Source organism: Homo sapiens, chromosome 6, assembly GCF_000001405.40.
Source record: "Homo sapiens chromosome 6, GRCh38.p14 Primary Assembly".
NCBI classification, from domain to species: Eukaryota; Metazoa; Chordata; class Mammalia; order Primates; family Hominidae; genus Homo; species Homo sapiens.
This window is the reverse complement of record NC_000006.12, coordinates 128,739,263-128,760,790: the sequence shown is the minus strand read 5'-3', so window position 1 is coordinate 128,760,790 and position 21,528 is coordinate 128,739,263. Positions and strand designations below refer to the sequence as shown.

General features: G+C 37.4%; 7 annotated features.

Annotated features, from left to right (window-relative positions):
- Window positions 5,541-5,600: a silencer, noted in NCBI's record as "silent region_17531". NCBI's record gives its function as "represses an Ori minimal core promoter by ATAC-STARR-seq in GM12878 lymphoblastoid cells {active_cell/tissue: GM12878}" and the evidence as "EXISTENCE:reporter gene assay evidence [ECO:0000049][PMID:35858748]".
- Window positions 5,801-5,850: an enhancer, noted in NCBI's record as "active region_25043". NCBI's record gives its function as "activates an Ori minimal core promoter by ATAC-STARR-seq in GM12878 lymphoblastoid cells {active_cell/tissue: GM12878}" and the evidence as "EXISTENCE:reporter gene assay evidence [ECO:0000049][PMID:35858748]".
- Window positions 5,861-5,960: an enhancer, noted in NCBI's record as "active region_25042". NCBI's record gives its function as "activates an Ori minimal core promoter by ATAC-STARR-seq in GM12878 lymphoblastoid cells {active_cell/tissue: GM12878}" and the evidence as "EXISTENCE:reporter gene assay evidence [ECO:0000049][PMID:35858748]".
- Window positions 13,810-14,446: an enhancer, noted in NCBI's record as "OCT4-NANOG-H3K27ac-H3K4me1 hESC enhancer chr6:129067490-129068126 (GRCh37/hg19 assembly coordinates)". NCBI's record gives its function as "activates a minimal SCP1, AML or CMV promoter by ChIP-STARR-seq in naive and primed H9 embryonic stem cells {active_cell/tissue: H9 hESC(naive and primed)}" and the evidence as "EXISTENCE:reporter gene assay evidence [ECO:0000049][PMID:30033119]".
- Window positions 14,447-15,084: an enhancer, noted in NCBI's record as "OCT4-NANOG-H3K27ac-H3K4me1 hESC enhancer chr6:129066852-129067489 (GRCh37/hg19 assembly coordinates)". NCBI's record gives its function as "activates a minimal SCP1, AML or CMV promoter by ChIP-STARR-seq in naive and primed H9 embryonic stem cells {active_cell/tissue: H9 hESC(naive and primed)}" and the evidence as "EXISTENCE:reporter gene assay evidence [ECO:0000049][PMID:30033119]".
- Window positions 15,664-16,389: an enhancer, noted in NCBI's record as "OCT4-NANOG-H3K27ac hESC enhancer chr6:129065547-129066272 (GRCh37/hg19 assembly coordinates)". NCBI's record gives its function as "activates a minimal SCP1, AML or CMV promoter by ChIP-STARR-seq in primed H9 embryonic stem cells {active_cell/tissue: H9 hESC(primed)}" and the evidence as "EXISTENCE:reporter gene assay evidence [ECO:0000049][PMID:30033119]".
- Window positions 16,390-17,115: an enhancer, noted in NCBI's record as "OCT4-NANOG-H3K27ac hESC enhancer chr6:129064821-129065546 (GRCh37/hg19 assembly coordinates)". NCBI's record gives its function as "activates a minimal SCP1, AML or CMV promoter by ChIP-STARR-seq in naive and primed H9 embryonic stem cells {active_cell/tissue: H9 hESC(naive and primed)}" and the evidence as "EXISTENCE:reporter gene assay evidence [ECO:0000049][PMID:30033119]".

Here is a 21,528-nt window from a genome sequence, read left to right as displayed (position 1 = left end):
ATGGGATGTGGGCGCAAAACTGCTTGGCTGACTTAGGGGTGTGTATGCCAGGGGCAGCCTGCAGGGCTGTTTCTCAGGAGTGGGATATAGGTGTAAAGCTGCTTGGCTGGCCTGGGGTTATGTCTGTTGGGGGTGGCCCATGGGACCATTTTTGGGCTTGGAGCATGGGTGTATTCGTTCATTTTCACACTGCTGATAAAGACATACCCAAAACTGGGAACAAAAAGAGGTTCAATTGGACTTACAGTTCCACATGGCTGGGGAGGCCTTAGAATTATGGTGGGAGGCAAATGTACTTCTTACATGGCATCAGCAAGAGAAAAATGAGGAAGAAGCAAAAGCAGAAATCCCTGATAAACCCATCAGATCTCGTGAAACTTATTCACTATCACAAGAATAGCACAGGAAAAGACTGGCACCCATGATTCAATTACCTCTCCCTGGGTCCCTCCCACAACATGTGGGAATTCTGGGAGATAAAATTCAAGTTGAGATTTGGGTGGAGACACAGCCAAACCATATCAGTGGGTAGACAGCTGCTTGGCTGGCCTGGGGGTCTGCCCACCAGGGGAAGCCTGCAGAGGTCTCTCTCAGTCCTGGGGCATGGGCACACAGCTGCTCATCCAGCCTGGGGCGTTTATGCTAGAGGAAACCCATGGAGGTATTTCTCAGGCTCTGGCTGCAGGTGCAGGGCCATTGGGCAGGTCAAGGGCTCATCTGCCATGGGATGGAGCCCTCAGGGCTGTTACTTAGGTTCTGGAAGCAGGTGTGTAGCCACTTTACTGGCCTGGGAGCAGGTCAGCTGCTCGGGGGCTTGAAGGCCTCTGCCGCTTGGTGGGAAGAGTACACAGCAATTTGACCAGCTTAAGGGCAGGTTCTTGGTGGGACTGCCAGACTGTTTCTCTGACTGGAAGTTAGGGTAACAGGAGTTGGCTTCCCTCCTGTCTAGGACCAACATCACAACCAATTCTGGGCTTAGGTTCCATGCTACTGGGGTTTTGGTGTTCAGCCATTGACATGGGCTTGCAGGAACAAAAATGGAGTCTCAATGTTGGGGAATTACAGTGGCCACTGGCCTCCAGAGGAGGGCACACTCCAGAGGTGGCTCTGTTCTCAAGATGGCACCATACTGAAACAAGTTGTCTCACAGGGAGTGGGTAGGGTGTAAGGAGTACACACCCTGTGCTCCCAATCCAGGGCAATGCAGTGGCATGAAAACCTGGAAGTTCTCCAACCTGGGAGACTGTGGGAGTCTCCTGTTATAAGGACTACAGGTGTTTGTGATGGCAATGGAGGCTTGTGGAATTCTTCTGCCTACCTTTTCCCCTCAACAAGAATCCATCCTACTCCAGTCAGGTCTGATCCAGGCTTGGGGAGATGGGGCTGCAGAGGTGAGGCACCTTCACACTTTCCTTCTGGATCTCCAATCACCATAGGTACCTCTCTACTAACCCCCTGCACTCCAGTACTCTCCTTTCAACACTCCAGTCAAATCTTAGCTGTGTATTTGTTGCCTTAGTCCTTTGTTTTTGGGAGGATAAATGCCAGGCATCTCTAATCACCCATCTTGCTGGTGTTTTCCTGCACTATTTTTTAAAACATAAACAAGATCATGTCCTTCATCAACTCAAAACCCTTCAGTATATGCACATTTTATAGAGAATAAAGTCCAAAGTCTTTACTAGGCCTACAAACCCTACATCACCTGGTTCCTGACAGCTTGTCAGATGCCAGGTTCTCTTACTTTCCTGTCATGGTGCTCCAACCACATCACCGCTCTGCAATTCTACAAACATACAAACCATGCTCCTCCCAAAGCAAGAATTGAAATGTTCTTTTTTCTGATTTCACCCTGGCTCACTCCTTCACTTAATCTATATCTCTACTTAAATGTTACTACATATGGGAGGCATTTGCTGTCTAGCTAAAATAACACCCCTGGGAAATTCTGTCCCCTTACTCACTTTATTTTATTACCCCTTATCACCAAACATATACCCACACCCATATACATATATATTTGTAAACATGTATATATGGATATATGTGGATATATATATGCATATATATGTATGTGGACATATATATATGCATGTGTGTATATATATATACATATATATATACACACACACACACGTATATCAGTGTGTGTAAAATCTTTACCAGCCAGACTATAAAATTGTAAGTTGCAACCAGGCTATAAACTTTATGAGAGCAAAGACTTTGTTGTAGTGATTGTTCTGTGCCCATGACTTAGGACAATGTTTGGCACATAGTAGGAGCTCAATGAATATATTTTTAACATAAATCAATGAATGTATACTAAAAAAATATAATTCTGATGAGTTTATATACACAGATATTTAATAGACAAAAAGAAAGTTCAAGACATAACAAAAAAAGTGTATCTCTCAAAGCTCAGAAATTAGACTGATGGATGTAAAATAATTTACATAGTGAATAGGATTAGTAATTTTGATATGATGAAATTGGCTCTGATTCTCACCCAAGAACCAGGTGCCATGAGCAGGAACTGACAGATCTCAGCTGCATGCCAATGCCTGTTTTCACCCACTTATCTCTGATACCAGAAAAGGACTGTGCATCATCACTGTCCCAGAAAATTATCCTCCTTGTTATAGGACTGTCTGAACTTATGAAATTAGTGAACCCACAGGATGGAAGTATAAACCAGATTGGCTAAATGAGTTAATCAGAATTAATCATTAGGGCAAGAGCTCTGACATTTTTCATCCCTGATTAAACATTCCAACAAAGTGTTCCAAAACCTTATGTAATACAAGAACACAAGATCTGCTTAAAGACTGGTAGAACTATATTGATACCTTTGAGTTTGTCAGGAAGCATCAAACTAGGAATAACTAAGGAAATTTATGTCTGAGTATTTCTCTACCAGAGACTCACTGTTTTAAAACAGTTAAAGACAATCAGTTTGTTTGTTTTTTAAAAGAAAAAGTTCAAAGAATCCACATGCATTTGTGAACTGAAGTGATAAATCATTACGGTCACTAAGGTAAGTGTATGAAGAGGAGGGTAAAACATGATGCATTAGAAAGAGCACTGCATTTAAAAATGGGAGACAAAGGCATCGTTTCCAGTTCTGTTTTCTTACCTGATTTTCTGGGCAGTGTTGGACAAAACTGACTCTCAATTGCTCATTTTTTTAAAAAAAGTTTATATTAGATATACGATCCTTCAGAAAGGAGAAAGGATACCAGAATTATTATTATTATTATTATTATTATTATTATTATTTTGAGACAGAGTCTCGCTCTGTCACCCAGGCTGGAGTGCAGTGGTGCGATCTCAGCTCACTGCAACCTCCACCTCCCCGGTTCAAGCAATTCTCCTGCCTCAGCCTCCTGAGTAGCTGAGATTACAGGCGCCCACCACCACGCTCAGCTAATATTTTGTATTTTTAGTAGAGATGGGATTTTGCCACGTTGGCCAGGCTGGTCTCAAACTGCTGACCTCAGGTGATCCACCTGCCTAGGCCTCCCAAAGTGCTGGGATTACAGGCATGAGCCACTGCACCCAGCCGGATACCAGAATGATTTAGAGGACTTCATCAAACTACTTATGTCACTCTGTAGCCTCCCAATCCTTCACTGGAATTTTGAACTACCACCATTTTGGGAACCACTCCAGTGGTTACCTTTAGGAGTTGGTTGTTTTCCTCAGGTGTGTTGAGTAGGGGGAAAATGGTTGAGAACAACTAGAAAATGGTCCTTTCCAATCCTAAAATCTGACTCATCATGTATACACAAACCACAGAGAAATCTGTAGAATGTGCAAAATCATTAAGAAGATACCCATCTCAAAAAGATGATCATAAGTGTTCCTCTGAAAATTGTCCACAGTTGTCAGTTATCTTCCTGGTTTATACTCCAGTTACAAGTATTTCCTTATATTCCATGTAACCATTATTTCTGCTGTAATTTAAAATCTGTTGTCTCATAAAACAAAACAGGTACTTAAAATACTCAAAAATTTCTTTTTATTTCACTTTAAACATTTAACAATTCCATATTCTATTCCCTCTTCTGATAATAATAATAACAATTTTAGGTAGCAGTTTATTTGTTCATAATTCCAGTAATGTGTCTATTTGATTTCTAGGCTTCCTGCTTACTTTAATAATGGGGAACTTGTGGTGTGCAGTAAGTAGTATGTGATCTGGAGAGAAATCCTGGCGGTGTGTGCAATTTTGTGTCTAAAAGATCTATTTATGACTACTTTTGGTTGTATTTGTAATATGATTTTTACTGAATTTTTAGAAGGCAAGACTGCAAGTGATCATTTGAAACTTTTAATATCTTTTTAAAAAACAAAAAAATGTTTTCAATTATAGTTAACACAAGATAGCTAATAATCATAAAATCTACATGGTAGGGGTTCCAACAGGCAGGAAAATCTCCTCCAAACATGGGTGTCACTAGCAGTCACCTTATTGAGTTGTTTGGAAGACAAGCTTCTTCCTTGCTTTCTGTTGATATGTTTGTCTCTGGTTTGAGATTTCCATTAATAGAATCATCTATTTGGATTATTGAATCCAAAAGACCACTGTTACCTTAGGCACATGTTACATGAGACTTGCAAATTCCAGGATATACCTACTATTATTCACATGCAACACAGCTTGGTTTTGTCAATTTGCTAATCATACTCTTGAAAAACAAAAAGAATAGTAAGAAAATTACCCTCATGAGAGAAGTGGCATTCAGAGAGATATGTGGGGTATAGGATTTACAGTCCAAGGAGTCTAAACCTGAAAGTTTAGATTCTGAGCACCCTACTTGTAATGTGAATGGGGTTACCAGATAAAATACAGGACACCTATTTAAATTTGAATTCCAGATAAACAACAAATATTGCAATTTGAGACATACTTATATATTTAAAACATTCATTGTTTATTTGAAATTCAAATTTAATGGAGAGTTTTATGTTATTATAATTATTTGCTAAATCTGGCAACTATAGAATGAAGGCAATATAACTTTGCTGTAACTGGCTTGAGAAAAGCACCATTGTCTTCTCGCCTTTGGAGTTTGTTTTTTTTTAATTTTATTATTATTATGCTTTAAGTTTTAGGGTACATGTGCACAACGTGCAGGTTTCTTACATATGTACACATGCGCCATGTTGGTGTGCTGCACCCATTAACTCGTCATTTAGCATTAGGTATATCTCCTAATGATATCCCTCCCCCATCCTGCCACCCCACAACAGTCCCCGGTGTGTGATGTTCCCCTTCCTGTGTCCATGTGTTCTCATTGTTCAGTTCCCACCTGGGTATATACCCAAAGGATTATAAATCATGCCTTTGGAGTTTTTTCTTGTCTGTTTCTATAACTAAAGGGATCAAAAACTGCAGAATTTTACCTGGGTCACGGAAATGTTTTTCTTTTTGTCTGGAGAAATTCATTGACATTATTATACTCTCCATACATCAATTCTTCCATCGAGTGCATAGTCTATTGCAATGTATTACACCTGGCCCTAAAGATATAAAGAATATAAGAAAATTGTTTCATTATTAAACTTACATTCTTACAGTATATCTAGGACATGCATGCACACTAGTAGTGACATAACAGAGAACATGGTGTCATTAAAGGGGAACTGAAAAGTTCTGAAGGGTTTCAGAAGAAAGATAGTATTTCCAGATTGTGTGGCGGAAAGGTTAAAAGTTACATGAAGGCATAAGAAAAGACTTCTGTTTTTGCCAATATGGCACAGTAGATATTGTTCAACCACAGAGCCCCTAGAAATGCTGAATAAAATCTAGAAAACAAGCTTTCATAAATATAATTTAGTGCGTTGAGGATGGGGGAACTCCACCATGAGTTGCTAAAAGGGTGAGTGAGAGAATAGAGAAAAGAAACAAAGCACTAATAACCTGTGTGATACACTAAAACCTAATCATGACTCTTCATGAGCTATTTATTGATTTCAATGAACTAATGGTTTGTATTTTAAGGTGCAGATAGAAACTAAGAGAAAAAATCTTGGACCTACTCGTAGCCACACTCAGGGATGGCTGTACCCTTAATAAAAGCGTGGTAGGAAAGAAATTGGTCTGTCGGTGAACACAGACAATAGAGATAATTCTGTCTGCACAAACAGAAGGCACAATATAAGATGGTTGAAACAATTTCTGCTTTTGAGTAGGATGTAGAAGGATGTAAAAATATATCCATAAAAAAATAATAAATAATAAACATACACAGACATGTGTCCCTTAACAACAGGGAGATGTTCTGAGAAGTGCATCGTTAGGTGATTTTACTATTGTGCAAACTTAGATGGCATAGTCTACTACATATGTAGACTATATATGGTATATAAATATATATACATCATATATACATATGGTATATATATATATATACCATATATATATACCTTTTGCTCCTAGCAAAATGTATAGCCTTTTGCTCCTAGACTACAAACCTATACAACCTGTGCAGCATGTTACTCTACTGAATACCGTAGGCTATTGTAACACAATAAGTATTTGTATATCTAAACATACTGAAACATGGAAAAGGTACAGTAAAAATACAATAGAAAAGATAAAAAATGGTACACCTATATAGGGCAATTACCATAAATGGAGCTTGCAAGACTGGAAATTGCTCTGGGTAAGTCAGTGAGTGAATGATGAGTAAATGTGAAGGCCTAGGACATTATTGTACTCTACTGTTATAGACTTATAAACACTGTACACTTAGGCTACACTAATTTATAAAAAATAATTTTCTATTCAATAACTTTTTACTTCATAAAATTTTTAATTTTTAAACTTTTTGACTGTCTTGATGTAACAATTAGCTTAAAACAGAAACACATTGTACAGCTGTACAAAAATTCAGCTATCCTTTTTATCCTTTTTATAAATAAAAATTATTCTATCCTTATTCTATAAGCTTTGTTCGATTTAAAGTTTTTTTATTTGTATTTTTTAAAGATTTTGTTGAAAACTAAGACACAAACATACACATTAGCCTAGGCCTACACAGGGTCAGGATCAATGTCACTGTCTTCCGCTTCCACATCTTGGGCCACAGGAATGTTTTCAAGGACTATAACACACACGGAGCTGTCATCTCTTATAATAACAAAGCCTTCTTCTATAAGACCTCCTGAAGGACCTGCCTGAGGCTGTTTTACAGTTAACTTTTTTTTGGTAAGTAGAATAAATACACTTTAAAAATAATGATAACAAGTATAGTATAGAAAATACATATATCTGTAACATCATTGTTTATTATCTTTATCAAGTACTATGTACTATACATAATTGTACACAATATACTTTTATATGACTAGCAGCACAATAGGTTTGTTTACACCAACATCACCACAAACATGTAAGCAATGTGTTGCACTATGATGTTATGACAGCTACTATGTTACCAGGTAATAGGAGAAAATTTTCAGTTCCATTGTAATCTTATGGGACCACCGTTGTATATGCTATCCATTGTTGACCAAAACATGGCTAGGCAGTGCATGACTGTACATGATATTCAAGGAGTATCAGCAGGTTTGGATGCCTGGAAGCCTTGAGGAGCTAAATCTCAGCAAGAAATGAATCTTACATGAAGGAGAAGCAAGCCAAGACAGTTTCCATGCCTAGGGGTACATATCTTGCCTATGTATTGGTGGGCAGCAAGTGACCTGTCATAGACTGAAAGACTTTGCAGGAATGAGGAGAAACCAGCCTAACTTTTAGAATCTGTATTGGCTGGGAAAGAGGACTGAAATCTGGAAGAGTCCTAGATGCAAAAACTAATCAATGTCACTGACAATTTCTCCCACAACTTCCTGAACTTTGCGGAGAGAAGTCTCAGTAAAATAAAGGTATGGAATCAAATTTACGCAGTCTTATGCATTTTGGGGTGCAAAGCTTCCAGAATCCTGCTGGAAATGAATTCAATGGTAAAACAAAACTATTGAAAGTTGTAGCCCAAACCAGCTCAATATGACCCCAGTGGAATTTGAATGATAAGCCCCTTACCCTAGCCACTAGGCCTGCCCACTCTGAGATACAAACACTATGTTTAGAGTTAGATAGAAATTATGAGATATGTTAAGAAACAGGAAAATGTGATAAATATTCAAGAATGAAAGTCAATAGAGACAAACTCACAGATCATCCAGATTTTTTAATTAGGAAGTATTACATTGAAATAAGTATCATAAATATGTTAAAGGATTTGCAAAAAAGATGGATATAATGAATGAAGATAAATGGAGCTTCAGAAGAAAAATAGATACCTTTTAGAAATATAAACAAATGAGAATCTAGAAATCAAAACTAAAATATCTCAAAAAAAGGTTTTTAATTTTCAGCAACTAGGAATACAATAGAAATTCTTCAATCTGGAGAAAGACATCTGCAATAAAGCTATAGTTACTTAAGTAAAATATCAAAGCCTTTCACCTAACCTGTGAAACAAAGCAAAGATGCTCACTCTCAATACTTCGACTCAAAATTTTGCTGGAATCTACAAAACAAGATACTAGAATGAATAAATAAATTTAGCAAAGTCACAGTCTACAAAGTCAATATAAAAAATATATCCTATTTCTCTATATTAGCAAGAAACAATTGTGAAAAGACAATTAAAAAAACACTTATGTTAGCATTGAAAAACACAAAATACTTGAGAAGAAATTCAAGATAAGATATGACAGTCCCACACAATGAAAACTACTAAATTTTTCTGAGAATTAACAAACAGAAAGATAGTCTGTGTTCACTGAGGTGAATGATGTTGTGAGAGGCTACCACAAGGCAATTTCTTATTCACTTCCCTGGTTCTGATGGCATGGGATTCTCCTTGCCCTTCCTCTGCCTCTATGTCCCTTGCTTCCCACCGCACTTCCTTTGGCACAGCTGCAGACTATAAAATTATCTAACACATAATTGTTGCTCTCAAGTAATTTAAATCTTTGCAAAGACCAAAGTTTTCTTGATTCTGGCAATAAGATGTATATGTTAATTTTTCTAGTGTTGGCCCTGAAGGCAAAATAAATATCTCAAAGGTAGGTCTTCATCTACTTCCTCTATTGAAAATCTCCATTGTTAAATCTAAATTAAAAACCTGTATCAAACAAAAGGAAAATCAACAGATTATTTGCAGTTTTAATGATTATTGTAAAGTTGGAAATAATTCATTTGCTACCAAGCTAAAAAATGCAACTGCTTCATTCAATAATAACCAAGGACAAAATGAATTGTAACAAAAATTTAATATATATTTGACTAGATCTAATTAGCATTTAATATGATATTTAAAATGTTTTAGTGATGTTTTTATTGGGTCATATTGGAAGGTGCCTTTTGAATAGGAACTCAACTTGAGTGAATAATCCTGCACTTTATAGGCACAATTTTTCAGCTCTTATTTAATAAAAATTTCAAAAATTAGACAATTGGTAAGATATTTTCATTAAATCTAAATGGGCTCAGAAAACTATCAAAGGCATAAGCTTAGTCTATCAGATTGAGCAGTTTCTAAATGGCCACCTCATCTGATGCTAAGCTTCAAATAGATGAATGTAATTGTTTTAAATGTTGCTACTTGTAAATTAAAACACAAAAGTAGTATCTATATTAAATGGTTAATATGAATTATCAAGGGTATATATTTAATTTAGATTTACTATTACAGGCATATTTTCCTGTGTTATATTATCACATTTCACAAAATTTGTTTTCCAATCAATTGCTTGATACTATAGCGTGTTTCTAACGTATGCAAGAGTCTGTGAGTTTGAATTTATATTGTCAAAATAACCATCTCTATCCCTTGGAGGTATGGGTTTAGGTCACAAATTTGAGGACCACAATTATCATTTGTTTTTCCCACTGTTAAAGTAGAGAGATAAGTGATTTTGAGAAATTAAGCGGTTCCGCACAATTGCTTTAAATATGAACATTTTTATTTGCTTCATACCCCATCCATGTTTAAGAGAAGTGAGTTTCAAAAGACTAACCTAAATCTTTAAAGTTTGTGTGACTTCAGGACTCATTGCTGTTGAAGGCAAAATTAAAATACCAAAAAGTTCCTTTTGAACAGGAACTTAAGTGAATAAACCTTGTGCCTTATAGATTTAAGTTCCACATATAAAAGAGCAAATATCTAAATGCAAAGGGAAAAAACAGCAGTTAAGGGAGGTCATTTCAAACAACTGTCATAAACAACAATCATCATTTATGAAACTTAGTAAAATAAAACACTCTCACTAATACCTTAATTTCTAATGTCTTTAACTAACTTAAATTCACTGTAGACAGATTAAAATACAAACTATTTCTCTCAAGTAAAATGTATCTATTTTTTCAAAATATATTATATAATTGCGGCTGTATCATTGACTTTTCAACTCATGCTTCTTATTTTAGTGGTATGTACTCCCAGATGAGTAATTTAACGGAAATATTTTATATAATAGCACAAAATACAGGACATTTCCCTCCCCGTACCATAGATATCTTTTCAAGTTGATTTAATTATCAATGCATTATAAGGTTATTATGATAGGAGGTAAGCTTTGTTTATAAATTTTAAAACCATCAGATTATTTTATTCATTCAAAAAACCTTTAGTGACAGAATTGATTAACTGGCCAACAAAAATTCATGATTTCTCTCAGGAATGTAAGCATTTCTATTGGGAAGCAGCTGTCTATGCAAAGTCTACAATTCCAATCCTTTGTGAATAAAAGTGATGTATGCCACTTCAGGCTGAGAAACAACAGCTCTGGTTTATTCTCACTCTTTTCTGACCTGCCAGATAAATTCAGAGGACTTCAAGGTTCTAAAGGATATTGAAGATACAGAATGGAAAGAGTTTAAGGTCTTGAATCACTGGATACAAGGCTACTTATCAACCAAGAACACCTATATTAAACTATTACTTGAGCAAAAAAGAAAAAAAATCTCTACTTACATAAACTCACCAAAAGAAACAATATTTTGCTTTGTTTCTTTCTAAATTTTATAGCTTCTCTATTTTTTTTTTTTTTTTTTTTTTTTGGCAGAGTCTCAGTCTGTCACCCAGGCTGGAGGGCAGTGGAGGGATCTTGGCTTGCTGCAACCTCCACCTCCTGGGTTCAACCGATTCTCCTGTTGATTCTCCTGCTGATTCTCAGCCTCCCAAGTAGCTGGGATTACAGGGGCGTGCCACCATGCTCAGCTAATTTTTGTATTTTTATTAGAGACAAGGTTTTGTCATGTTGGCCAAGCTGATCTCGAACTCCTGACCTCAGGTGATCCACCCACCTCAGCCTCCCAAAGTGCTGGAATTAAAGGCGTGAGCCACCACACCGGCCTAAATTTTATAGCTTCTGATATTATCTTAACTAATGTAGATATTGGTAATTTGAAGTGGGATACATCCTTTGAAAAATGCCTTACATGTGTCACACTGGCCTAGTGATCGGGTAGTAGACAATGAAGAAATTGATAACAGAAATGGAAAATATGCAAGAGTCTATTAGGCAATGGCAAAAGATTGGGTAAAACTGTCAACATCAATACATTGAAAGTCATAGAGCTTGCAGCACTAGATGAAAGGTTAGAAAAAGTCAGAATGTTGATATAGTAGTATAAATTTTTTATTAGCCCCCTATGATATTTTGTATTGCTGTGTATTTTAATTTTTCACATATTTTAACAACTACAAATAATTACTATTATTGTTTTAAGAATAGTATGTGATTGGATTTATCCACATATTTATCTTTACCTCTTGAATTTACGTGTTTCAATCTCAAATTATTTTACTTCTGCCTGAGGAATTTCTTAAGTGTTTGTGTTCATTCAGATCTGCTGGTGGTGACTTCTCATTCTTTGTTTTTCTGAAAATGTCATTAATTATTTTGTCTACATTTTTGGAGGGTTATTTGCTTGATATAGAATTCAGGTAGGCAATTTTTCTGTAGCATTTTTAAGGTGTCATTCTATTGATTTCTGGCTTCCATAATGATTTTGTTTGATGTATGTATTTTTTAACTTTCATTTTAGGTTCAAGGGTACATGTGCTGGTTTGTGTTATGGGTAAATTTCATGTCACTTGAGTTTGGTGTACAGATCATTTTGTCAGCCAGGTAATAAGCATAGTACCCTATAGGTGGTTTTTTGATCCTCTCCCTATTTCCACCCTTTACCCCCAAGCAGGCCCCAGTGTCTGTTGTTCCCTTGTGTCCACGTGTACTCAGTATTTAGCTCTCACTTGTAAGTGAGAACATATGGCATTTGGTTTTCTGTACCTATGTTAGTTTGCTTAGGATAATGGTCTCCAGCTCTATCTATGTTGCTGCAAATGACATGATCTTGTTCCTTTTTATGGCTGCATAGTATTCTATATTGTATATGTAGCATATTTATTTTTATCCATCTACCATTGAGGGGCATTTAATTTGATTTAATGTCTTTGCTATTGTGAATAGTGCTGAGATGAATACATGCATGGATGTGTCTTTATGTTAGAATGATTTATAGTCCTTTGGGTATATACCCAATAATGGATTGCTGGGTCAAATAATTTTGTTCTGAGTTCCTTGAGGAATTGCCACACTGCTTTTCACAGTGGCTGAACTAATGTATATTTCCACCAGTAGCATATAAGCATTAAGCATTCCCTTTTTGACACAACCTTGCTAACATCTATTATTTTTTGACTTTTTAATAAATGGCTTCCATAATTTCTGCTGAGTATTTAGCTGTCAGACTTTGATGGTAAAATGTCTTTTTTATTTTTCCTGCTTTTAAGATTTTCTATTTGACTTTGGTTTTCAGAGTTTTGCTATTATATGCCTGCGTATGATTTATTTGTATTTGTTACGCTAGACGTTTTCTAGTACAGTCCTTCTCTGAGTCTTTCCATTGAGTCCTTCATCAGTTGTTAAAAAAAAATCCTGGCTATGATCTATTCAAATATTACTTCTGCTACACTTTTTACTTTTTCTGGAACTCCCGATCATATCCATGTGTTCCATATGTCTCTAACGTCCTTTCTCTTTTGAGCATTCAGGCCTCAGATTTTCTATTGAATCCTATCTTCTACTGTTTTCAAATTTCTATAGAGCTTAATTTGAGCCTTAAGTATCAATTTGCTTTTCAATTTGTAATTTATAACATTCTCTAACTTTTCATCTTTTTCCCATTTTTCTAAATTCTTGAATGCATTAATTACAGCTATATTAATGTTTCTATCCGCTAACTCTAATAACAGAATCACCCTGTGGATTTGCTTATATTGTCTGGAATTTTTCTTTGTATTTCTGATCATATTATCCTATCTCATAACATGTCTAGTGATATTTAATGAAACATAACAAATTGTGTGTAAAAAGTTGTGGTGACTCCAAGAATATTGAATTCTTCCAGATAAGTTTTCCCAACCAACTGCTGCTTGACAAATAAAATTGAGAGGCATAGCTATCCTCATACCATTAATCAGGGACTGAGTAAAGTCAAGTCTGGATTCCCGTTTTGGTGAGGTTCCTTTAATTTGTACTCTTTTCCATGAGTACAATTCCTATGAGTACTCATTCCTATGAGTACAAACTCCTAGTTTGGGAGTCAAAGATCTCCTCAGTGCTTTCCATGACACCAAGCTGTGTTCACTAGGCCCCTTCCCCTGGTAGATCTTGATCGCTATTCCTGTGTAAAACAGGTAACAGTAAGCCAGGTCATGATGGGGCTTATAGGCCACTGTGAGAACTTTAGCTTTTAAATTGAAATGAGGTACCAAATGAGAATTTTATCAGAGAAATGACATGAAAATTGCATTTTAAAAAGCTCGCTTGGTCGGTTTAATGTGAATAAATTGTAAAGGAGCAAGATGGGTGGTAAGAAGACCATTTAAAAGTCTAGGAGGAACATACAGAAGTCTGCTGCAATCTTCTAGACTATAGATGGTGATTCAGACAGAGAAGTGGTTAAGATGCTATATATACTTTGAAATTATAGAAAACACAATTTCCTGATGACTAGATATGGGATTAGAGAGAAAAAGAGGAGTCAATGATGAACCCAAGTTCTTGGCCAAAGCACTTGGAAGGATTTGTGCTATTGATTGAAATGAAGATGGCTTTTATGGGGTTTGGGAAGTGCAAAGGGGTGTGGGGGGACAGATTGGGAGTTGAGTTTGGGAGTCACTGTCAGGCCTCTGAGCCCAAGCCAAGCCATCGCATCCCCTGTGACTTGCACGTATACGCCCAGATGGCCTGAAGTAACTGAAGAATCACAAAAGAAGTGAATATGCCCTGCCCCATCTTAACTGATGACATTCCACCACAAAAGAAGTGTAAATGGCCAGTCCTTGCCTTAACTGATGACATTACCTTGTGAAAGTCCTTTGCCTGGCTCATCCTGGCTCAAAAAGCACCCCCACTGAGCACCTTGCGACCCCCACTCCTGCCCACTGAGCACATTGCGACCCCCACTCCTGCCCGCCAGAGAACAAACCCCCTTTGACTGTAATTTTCCTTTACCTACCCAAATCCTATAAAACGGCCCCACTCTTATCTCCCTTCGCTGACTCTCTTTTCGGACTCAGCCCGCCTGCACCCAGGTGAAATAAACAGCCATGTTGCTCACACAAAGCCTGTTTGGTGGTATCTTCACACGGACGCGCATGAAAGTCACTAACTGCAGACAGATATACAAACCTGATATTCGAGAAAAAATCTGGCTGGAGAGAAAAATTTGTGAGTGGTATTTAATTTGACAATGAAAATTCATTTAAATAAAACATGAAGAACTTCTAAGTACATGGAACCAAACTGAGAATTGAGAATATTTACTGAGGATTTTTTCCTTCATTCCTGTCATAATTTTGAGGTTATGTTGTCCATGAAGAGCCGAGATGACTGCCTAAATTCTAGTAAAGTGAATGTTGGTTTTGCCAGAATAAATAAGTTTTCAATTTCCCTCTACAATTTTGAAACTTTCAATACATATTTGTCAACTATCAGTAATATATAGGCTACCAAACTCAGACTGATGTAAAAGATATTCAAGACATTTGGTTTTCTTTCTGCGAAGATAAACTGGATTTTACGACAATGGTGCATCCACTCCCTATTCTTGTACTCAGTTTAATAAGTTCCAAATCTATCTTTTCTACTATTACATCATTTCTTACAATGCCCAAATTTTTAATATAACTATATGTAAGTAGAAAGGCAACAAATTAGTTATGACATAACTTTTCATTTGGGGAAAGAAAATAAGCTACAAAAAATGGAGATAAAGATTAGGGTAAGAAACTGAAAAAGAAAACACTAGATACCTTGTCATAATTGGGAGTCAAAGATCTGGGGATCAGCTAGACGTGCAGTTGAATGATTTTGACAACAATGTTAAATAGGTGGGTGATACTTGATTTGTTTTTCAACTTCTGAACAGAACTGGCACTTAGAGAAAAGAGGAAAATTATAAGACACATCTGATAACATTTCCGAATGTCAGCCTCCCCATTTCAAATAATTTGCTAATGTAAGAGAAAGCATATAGTTATTATTCGCTTAGGAATTCCTATTTTAAAAAACAGAATATATGTGTGATGTACATATACATATATTGTCTTTATATATACAAATATTTTTTACATCTTCACTATTGTGTTTATTTTGAAAATAAATTTTAAAATTAAAATTTGGCATGAATTATGGTATTGTCCCAGTTGGAGCTGGAGTTGAGTCTACTCCCTCTCCCCAGCTGCAGAATCCCATTGCAGGGGTTCCTATACCTATTTCTAGGGCCCTCTTTGAATAAAGACTGCATTACCATCTTTAACAAGTGACATAAATATTTTTTCTTTAACAGTATCTATCTTTTTGTTTTTTTCTGATATAACACTTTAGACAACTATTTCAGTTAACTTTTCACCAACTGGTCCTAAATTGGGTAGGAGGGGATACTATTGTATAATGTATAGAACATGTAACCTAATATATGTTATGAAAGTTTTTGGTGATTATTTCAAGTTGTTGATGAACATGAGACAACCAGGTGGGAAGGGACCCCCAGAGAAACTCCAAGAAGCCTGTACACTGGGAAGAGTGCACACTAGAGTAGAACCACAGAAGTTCATGCCATTTGCAACAGGGAGGAGCCTGGCCCCTCCTCTTCCTGGGTGGAACCTGGGATTCCAGCTGCGAGGCGAGAAGCACACCAGCAGGGACTCAGGCCTTGCAGAGAGTCCCTGCTTCTCTCTTTTCCTTTTCACCCAATAAACCTTGCCCTCCTCACCCTTCAAATTTTTCTGCGAGCCTAATTTTTTATGGCCATGTGTTAAGGACCCCTGTCTTTAGCTGAACTAAGGAAAGAGTCCTACAACAAAATAATTAAATTTTGCTAATCCTAATGAAACTCAGGATAAAATATGTTAGTTTTAATTTATGCTTTATTTGGGGCAAACTATTAATACTCTTCTTCCTTTAGAAATAATAGCCTTGATTGAAAACATTGTTTATGTAAATAATTGTTTCAGACGACCAAAGTTTCCAAGGAAACATGCTTTGAATTCCTCAGCAGAATATGCAAATGAAAACCTCTTTTCTGTGTAAATTGCCTCTAAGTGAGGGACAAAGCTTGAAACAATAAGCCAATTCAAAGAGATAAAAAGGAGAAGCAACTGGCAGATGAAAAGAAACAACTGACTCCAGTGGCTTTTTTCAATAGCCATGAAAATCATTCTTTTTTGCTTTACGGATTTTAGTACCCACTATCAATATTTGCCTATTGTCAACTGGGGAGAGATTAAAAGTAAGTTGGGTCTAAATGCTCTTGAATTTGCATGGTGATGTTTTGTCTCTGAATGTTATCTATTCTGCTAGCTGATTATTGATACTAAATTGCCCCATAGAGCAGGTTGCGGCTGTTTTTAGCCTTCTTTCTATTGCAGAAATCAATGTGACTTCCCTGCTGAAAAAATGGAAAGAAGAAAAACAAATAAGGAACAAGAAAGCTCTTGCTAGTTGTAGCATTATAAAAGATAGTTATGTATCCAGAATACATCTACACAGATTAACCATTTTACCCATTAGATAATTATTTTATTCAAATAAAAGTATTATTAAGTATATACTATATAATATTAAGTATTAAGTATTTTATCCAAATAAAGTATTATTAAATATTATTTTATACCAAAAAAGTAGAAAGAAAAGAAGTAGTACTATAAGATGCCATCACATCTGATTTCTGTAAACCAAGCTTTAAATCACACCATCTACCAGTCCCCTCTTTTAAATTCTTAAGTCAACAAACAGGTATAGCTTCCTATGAATGCACTGTGCAATCACAACTTTGCTGCTACAAAATGAACCAACTCATAGTATCTATGTGGATGATAAAGTCTTGCCTATGCCTACTCTAAACTATGCCTGAGTGTGAAAACTATACTGTGAATATAACAGTTTTTTAAAGCAGCTTAATGTTTCCAAAGAGAGACAAGGAAGACCAAAAGGAAGAGACCGTAGGAGTAAATACAGGAGAATTTTTGTAAGGATGCTGCTGGAATCTTAGCACCTGTTGCAAAAATAATGAAACAGGAGAGTTCCTTGACCCCTTCATGGGACTCGCGACAGGGGCATGGCTCGTTTGCTCCCGTACAGGAGGAGGAGCACGCAGACGGGCAGGTGCAAGCACCAGGGCAAGCGCTTTTGGGCTCCAGGCCCGCAGTAGCATCTAGGAGTGTTACAATTAATGCCCTTTCAGCAGTTACCATTCACAGATGGCTCAGTGTTAACCAGCTCAGGGGAGAGTCAGGGTGACAGCCTTTTACATCCTGCCCTCTTGGTACCGGGGTCCTTGTCTGGCATCCAGGAAGAAACAGGTCACATGGACTTGAAGGATGGTGAATGTGGGGATTTTATTGAGCGCTAGAGGTGGCTCTCAGCAGGATGGATGGGGAGCCAGAAAGGGGATGGAGTGGGAAGATGATCTTCCCCTGGAGTTCAGCCGTCCTGTGGCTGAGCTCCTCTCCCACAGTCCCTAGCCAAATTCCTCTTGACGTTGATACTCCTCTTCTCTCTTTCTCTGCCATGCAACTCTGCTGCTCTGCCAGTGGAGCTTGGGGTATATATGGACACAGGATAGGGGTGTGGTAGGCCAGAGTGGTCTTGGAAAAGGCACCATTTCAGCACCAAAACAGGAATGCCTATTCCCATTTAGGCCCATGGGTTTCCAGGCTTGAGGGTGGGGCCTTTGCCAGGGAACCACCCTCTTCTACCCAGTATTCCCCTGCCTCCTGTCAATATCAATAAGAGGACTTCTCTTAAAGAGTACATGAATAGTTTAGCAATAGAAAAAGGAGATATGTATAGAGAGAGCAAATAAAAACATTCAGAAGCGATAGCCAAAATATGTTGTGACACCAAATAGAAATGGATAAACACTAAATACAGTATGCAGATGAGATTGACTTGTATCTGAGTTTGAATTTCCCCAGAAGCAAACTCAGTGAAAAAGTTTAGAATATAAGTAATTTGTTTTTTCAGTGATCCAGGTAAGTGTCTACAAAAGAATACAGAAAAAAAGGGAAAGAAATAAAATCAATAGAAGCTACATTACAAGTAAGTTACCACTGTGGGCAACTGGAGCTAAGTACCACTAAGGAACTCCAGGAGACAGTGCAAAACATGCATCATAGTTATCCCAAATGAGAAGCAAGGAACCTGTCACAATTACACAACACATCTTCTCCAAAATTTCTGGTGACTTGTTTTGGAGGTATTACACCTCCAGGACTTCTGATTTGTATTGTATGTGGACTAAGCAAATTACTACAAACAAAAAATTCCCTAAATGGAAGAGTGCCCTAAGTGGAGAGTCAAGTATTTGCAAAAAGTAAACCTTTAGAGTGAATGCAAACAGGATATGGATGAGGCACCAAAGACATCTGTGAAAGTTAGAAGAACCAAGATGAGATCTGGTTACACATAGCAAGAGCACATCCTATAAATTCAAGAACCTTTTTGTCAGATGGCTAGAATTCAGAGTTTTAAAAATAATACCTACATTTAAGTGGTCAATAGAAAAAAAAATGGTACTAATGGAGTTCAGGGCACACTACCCCAAAAATATGGCACTGTGGCATTTAAGAAAACAGTAGAAGCAAGACGGTCTCTCTGATTTTCTCCCAACATTTTCCTCTGAAGCAGGCCATAAAATAATTCTTGATCTTCCTTTGAAGTAGGTCATAGACCCTCATTCTGGGGTGCCCTCCTCATACCCAGAAGAAAAGAACATCCTTATTGTCGCAGGTCACAGCTATCTGGGGCCAGTGTCACACAAGCAGTAAAAGAATTTACTGAAACAGTTGTAGGTAAAGAAAAGCAGACTTATTAGAAGTATGGAAATATGTTGCAAGGGTGTAATGGGCAAGTCAGCAAGATAGGAACTGATCGCAGGGAAACAAAGGCTTGCTGAGGACTTCATAGGATGGTGCTTGTGCTGTGGGCTGAAGAGGGCTTTGTGCAATACTGATAACACCAAGGTTGCAGTGAGCTAACTTGAATTTTTCTTTCAGCCAAGGGTTTGGTAATATGTGGATGCAGGAAGATTGTGAATTATTTGTGCAGGAGGGCTGTGTGTTCTGGACCATGAAGAAAAGCAACTTGGAGATCTTATTTTTCTTTTTGTTTTTCCCTGCTCCTGCCAGTCTGACTCATTTTCCCTAATTAGGACTCCATACTTACTTCTGAAGACACAGGGACACAGAGAAGAATCAGAACAAACAGGCCTTGCTAAATTCCTCCCAGTTTATTATTATTAAATCATACCCACTTTGTCCAATCATACTTCCCTACAACTGTACATTCTTCATCAAGCCTGAGCATTAAAAATCTGAGTAAAAAATTACACAGGTTTCCCTGTTTCTTCAGGTCTTTTCTGAAGGCTCCCATGTCATGTAAAACAGTAAATAAATTTGTATTTTTTTTTCATTAATCTGGCTTTTATTATAGGTGCCTCAGTCATTAACCTACCAGTAGGTAAGGAAAAGACATTATTTTTTTCTCCCCTCCAGTGCATTTGAGAAAAAAACGCAGAACATAACAGAATAGTGTAAGAGAAGAATGGACTATGGCGCAGTAAAATGCAGAGGACCAAGAAACAGTGCAATAGCAGTTCCAAGAATAATAGAACTACACCTGGAAGGGTGGCAAAGACTTGCAGTTCAATAGCCAGACACTAAACAAATTAAAAAGAAGCTTAAAGACCTGTGGCAAACTTTCAAAAATTATCACAATATCAGAAGACAAAATATGGGTCAAGGCAGAAAAGGATGATGAAAAAGCAAATAGTAAGATGAATAAATTGATATCCAGGTCAAAATAGTACAAAGCATCCATACACCCTTTGATAAACTCCCCTTCTCCATGATAACCAGCAGATAAAATATAGAGAAACAAAATGGCACAGCCAAACTCAAATTCAAAGTAAGGATCTCCATTGACCAGAAATGGAATATAAATGCAAAACATTGTAAGACACTGATGTTTCAGGAGAGGCTGAGGTGGGCAGATCACAAGGTCAGGAGATCAAGACCATCTTGGCTAATGTGGTGAAACCCCAACTCTACTAAAAATAAAATACAAAAAATTAGCTGGGCGTGGTGGCGTGCACCTGTAGTCCCAGCTACTCCGGAGGCTGAGGCGGGAGAATGGCGTGAACCCCAGAGGCAGAGCTTGCAGTGAGCCGAGATCACGACACTGCACTCCAGCCTGGGCGACAGAGAGAGACTCCATCTCAAAAAAAAAAAAAAAAAAAAAAGACAAAAAATATACAAGAAGTATGACAAGAAGCTGAACTATACCAATCACTGGCTTTATGAATTTATCTAATATTTCCAATATCACCACCAGTCAGTAACTATCTGGTTATCTGACCTGGTTCTCTACTGAAGAATCAGAGGGCTAGCCAGAAGCAAATTCAGACTGCTGGTTAGGGTGGGAGGAAGTGGGGGAGGAAGCGAGGGAGGGAGGGTAAGGGAGAGAAAGACAGACAGTAAAAATTATAAAACACATAAAAATTTAATATCAAAACACAGCTAAAAAAAAGTCAACAATTAGAATGTAAATTCATTCCAATTAATTTAAACTTGTAAAAAAATTGGGACAAGAATTTTAAAATAAGTATGTTGAAGATTTTCAAGGGAAAAAGGAGGCATAGGTTGCTTTAAATTTAACAAATTATAAAATTTAGGAATCCAGGCCAGGCCTGGTGGTTCATGTCTGTAATCCCAGCACTTTGTGAGGCTGAGGTGGGTAGATGGCTTGAGGCCAGGAGTTCAGAACCAGCCTGGGCAACGTGGCAAAACCCTGTCTCTACCAAAAATGCAAAAAATTAGCTAGTGGGTGGCATGTACCTGTAGTGTCAGCTACTCAGAAGGTTAGGTAGGACAGTCACCTGAGGCCAGGTGGTCAAGGCTGCACTGAGTCATGATTGCATCACTGCATTCAAGCCTGGGTGAC